At 36.2% G+C, this 4703-nt stretch overlaps 1 annotated feature.

Annotated features, from left to right (window-relative positions):
* Window positions 268-562: a silencer, noted in NCBI's record as "tiled region #6757; HepG2 Repressive non-DNase unmatched - State 24:Quies". NCBI's record gives its function as "represses a minimal TATA promoter and a strong SV40 promoter by Sharpr-MPRA in HepG2 cells {active_cell/tissue: HepG2}" and the evidence as "EXISTENCE:reporter gene assay evidence [ECO:0000049][PMID:27701403]".

Raw genomic sequence — 4703 nt, forward strand, 5'->3', positions numbered from 1 at the left:
CCACTGCTGTGATTCTGTTATGCATCTCTGAGGACTGACACTACAGTGTTGTGAAGTCACAGATGTTGCCTCATTCAATGTTACCACGGCCAAATGTGACTCAATTCAATCCCGGAGCTCATAGAAATTGCCATATAAAAATGACATTTCTTTTTGGTCAAGATCTTAGGTAACTTCTGCCATTTTCTGAAGGGGCTTTAGGAGAAATACAACAAGAGGTGTGGTGGCAGAGCAGTACTTTTGAGAGCAGCCCAGAGAAAGGTCTTCATTCTGCCTATTTCCCTGGGTGAACTCAAGCAAAAAGCTTGCCCTGCTGAACTGCACTGAGCACACAATTTTGCCCAGGATAATTTCTTTGATATCAAAGAACTAAGTTTGTATAAGCCTAAGCCACATTGCAAACAATGGTACTTCCTGGATGAAGCATGAGTAATTAGCCGTGAGGGTCATTGCTGTTTGGCCCCCGAACTATATTGACGTTTCAAGACATAGTATAGAAACCCACATAGTTTTCATACCATAAGAGGTTAGCCTCTTAATGAATATCTTATCTGGGAAGCCCAGCTACAATGTATTTCTAGAACCTCATAATGATAGCATTTACTTTATGTTTTGGTGCTCTTCAGCTGAAAAGAAAAAAAAATGGCTGGAGAAAAATGTCAGGTTAAGGTTCTCTGGTATGAACAAAGCAAAAACTACTATAGTATTGTCACGTGCGAATGAACTACAAAGCAAATACTCTCAATTTTTTCTCATAAATATTCGGCAAAGTCTCAGCATTTTCCTTGAAGTGGCAGCAAATCCATGAGTGGGAGGTCTTCTGTTCCACAGCTGCTTACGAGCATTGTTATGGCTGGGCATAAATTACAGAAGTCAGGATTTCAACCACGGTGGAAAAGTCTATAAAGATTTCTTTCCCTTATTAACTACTGTGTGACCACTAGGTTTATGAATGGAGTTAAAAGTTCTAAACAGGAACAAAAATGTGGTAAATGCCCTCGAAGGCATTATGTGGAAATTTCTTCACAGTAGTGGAGACCAAGCAGAGAGAGAGAGAGAAAGAGATGAAATTAAAACAAGCTGCACACATAAATGATGCTAGGAGAGAAGGAATAAAAACTCCGCAGGTCTTCCAAGAGCTGGCAGGGGCCACCCGCCAGTCATAGCAAACAGGAGTACTCTTTCTGTGCTAAGTAAATAAACTTAATTGTACATTTGTAAGACTATGGAAGGTCTAAAACAAGAATTTTTTTCCAAGGTCTGAAATATCTCCATTAAAGAGTTCATAGAAATGAGAGCTGTCTCTTTAAAATCAATACCAAATTGGCTAGGGCTTGTAACTGCTCAGAACAGAGCTAAGGGGCAAGCTGTTAAAAAATATGGTTTTTATAAACAAACTTGACATTGCAAACTTAATGCAAAACCCTATGCGTGTAGCATCACTTGTGTGTACAACTTGTTTAAATTAGAGCTCCAGGAAAAAGGAAGTAAAATCGACTTATTAACCTTTTGTTTAACAATTCTTACATACTATATTTTGAAGTAGACGGTGGTGTCTCCCTAGCCTTCGAAAAGTTAAGAATCTGTCAGCATTTTCTCCTGAAAATTTTTATGCATATTTTTGAAAATCCAGCTCTAAGTATGTACTCTATACATAAAATATTTTTTGCTTGAGGTGTCAACAAATTCATTGCACTGCATTGAACTTAGAGAAACATTGTAAACAATACTTAACTAAGGTTCTTCCTTCTCCCTGGTGCTTAAAGATTGAAAATAGAGGTGGTTTCTTTTTTCTCTGGAAATTTATTAACCAATATTCCCTCACTCCAATTCAACCTCCTTTGGTATTTGAAGAGAACCACAAAACACTAGTTGTTAATATTGTTTTAAGCCTCACCCTCTTGCTTCATTGTATCTTTGGTCAGATCTGCTTTTAATATGCCACTTTGCAAGTTTAATTAAAATCATAACAGCTCAATCCTATGAGTTTGGACAACACTGGATATCAGCACAGATTTCAGGAATTATGAAAGAGACATACAATCTCTCTTAAAATTGAGCAGTTGGCTTAACCAATAATGTAGCCTGAAAAGTCTGTTTCTTAAACATGTAAATATTTAACATGACTCAAATGCAGTTGCTCTTTCTATAATTATTCCAAAAGATCATTTATTGCTCTTGAGAGTGCTTTTCTGAATGACACGGTTCTTATTTGAGTTTGTATCACCTTCCTTTTGCAAGAAATCACAGTTTGGGTGTGCTCTCAGAATAATCTGAAACACATTGCCTCCCTCTACTCCTGAAAATTCCAGCTGGTGGTTTGTCACCCATGGCCTGTTGCATTCTTAAGCTTACAAACATTTTTAAGTCTTTTAGATGTGCCACAGGATTTTATTTTTGATGATAATGTTTATTTGCATGTAGCCATAATTGCTGAAGCAGTCAGACTACAGCCACATTAGCGTTTTGCCCCTTATGGTGGAAGATGGTTAAGGATGGCCTGGCGCAATTTGAGCTTTGGAAAAGATTTACCAGATGGGATGATTTTGAAGAGGTTTGATCATTATCTTGGATGTGGAACATATAGTACTTTCTGCATGATTTATCTGAAGTGATTAACTACTGTATTGCTTATTTCCACAGTGCATTCTGTGATCTTCCTGGAAGCATGCAGGTTATGCTTAGTTCTACTCTATTAATTATATGGGGTATCTTCAAATCTTTCTTCTATTGTTTTGCTATTAAGGATTAACTAAACATTTTCTTTGGCCTTTTATTCCTTTTGTAAGATTGTGGCATTGCCCTGTTCAGTGCCTCCTTCCTGTCCCCAGGGGAGGCATATTTTGGAATATATAAACTAACACCTCTAAAATATTAAGAAGAAAACCTCTAACTAAAAATACAATATGATTTCAACCAAAAAGAAGACGTTAAATTTCATTTTGACATGATGAGTTTTACACACACCCACAGAAGTCTGATACTGGGAGGTGAGCTAAGGACAGAGTATCCGTTTAAGCTCTAACTATTGCTGGGTTTTGTGGGATTCAAGCAAACCCTCAATGCTAGAAGAACAGCTCTTCAGATTTAAATTTAGTGAATAAAAACTCTCATTTGGTTTATACTCAAATATTTTGTTTTCTTCCTCACAAGTTTCTTAGTAGTTATAGAGATGCTGGCAGAGGGGAAAAAAGCTTTATGTGAATGTGTCCTATTCAGAAATTTTCCTGAATGATCACTGCCAAGGTCTTTAAATTGGCTGTTCTTAAAAATGGAGACCTGTATTATAGTCAAGGTTGGGGCTAAAATTATTAACTTCTCTCCTCTATACCAAATAAAATCATGCCTGGCTTGTAATTCACTTGCATTAAGAAACCAAGTAGAGAACTTGTCCTACTTACAACCAATTTTAGGACATCTATAAATTCAATTTGATGAGTTCAAACAGAATTTCATATGTGCAGAAGAATAAAATATCATCGCCTGATTGTTGCCTATCTGACCTTGAATGTAAAGTGGGTGTCAAGCCATAATTTTTGGACCTCTCATTTGTGCCACATAATGAAGAGTCAGAAAGGATTTATTTTTAGAGACATTTCAGGAGTACCAGTTTGAACCACATTAAATTATTTCCTATTTTCTATACTTACCACCTTGCAAACACTGCCAGAGCTTCAGGGAATATTTTTCTACTTTTCAGTGCCAACAGAAAATTAAGCCCAGCACAGGTATCTATACTGATAGCCCATTTTGGATCCAGGGCGAAATGTTTTCAAAACATTAGTGATTGTTTTACACTACTATGCTTTATGTTAACTCTCACTGACTCACAGCAGCTGATGATACTCAGCTTAATGAAATGTATCTGCTACTTATATTTCAGGGAGACGTACTTCTACAGGATCTAACTCTGGGTAGCTATCTTCTTATTCTCCTCCTTCCTGTCAGAGAGTGACACCACCAGTAATTAAGTTTGAAAACTTACTGTCATTCTGACTCTTGTTATTAGGAACCCATTAAATTCCAAAATAAAAATTAGTCTATCTTATGCTCAGTGCTTAGCTTGATCCATCCTCCCTTCCTTCCTTCCTTCTTTCCTTCCTTCCTTCCTTCCTTCCTTCCTTCCTTCCCTCCTTCCTCCATCCCTCCTTCCCTCCCTTCCTTCCTTCCTTCAGAAATGTGCAGAAAATGAAATTAGGGCATTAACAATAACAAAGGGTTATTGTTTCCTTTAAAAATTGTGGCACACATCAATATAATTTGTTTATACACTTTTGATTGCAAACAAATGTATTTCTCTTTAATGTAGACAAATTAGGCAGTATAGAAAAGCACAAATGCAAAAATATTATTCATATTTCTATTACTCAGAGAAAGCAATGTTTTAAATATTTTGTTGTATATGCTGTAGTCTCAAAAATTATGTTAAATTGCACAAGATATTAGGCAGCCTATTTTATTTACTAAACAGTAATTGTCGGTATTTTCACATGATATTTTCTTCTACAACATGATTATAATTGAAGTATCTATCTCATGACACAGCTGTATCACAATTTGTATACCCAATTACCTATTTTTGTTCATTTAAAACATTTTCAGTTCTCACTGGTACAAATTCTGAGTTGATTTTCTATGGAATAGCTGTATTTTTACTGCTTTGTAGAAGATCCCTACATCTTAAAGATATTAATGTTTTGGTG

This window comes from Homo sapiens, chromosome 2 (assembly GCF_000001405.40).
Source record: "Homo sapiens chromosome 2, GRCh38.p14 Primary Assembly".
Lineage (NCBI taxonomy): Eukaryota > Metazoa > Chordata > Mammalia > Primates > Hominidae > Homo > Homo sapiens.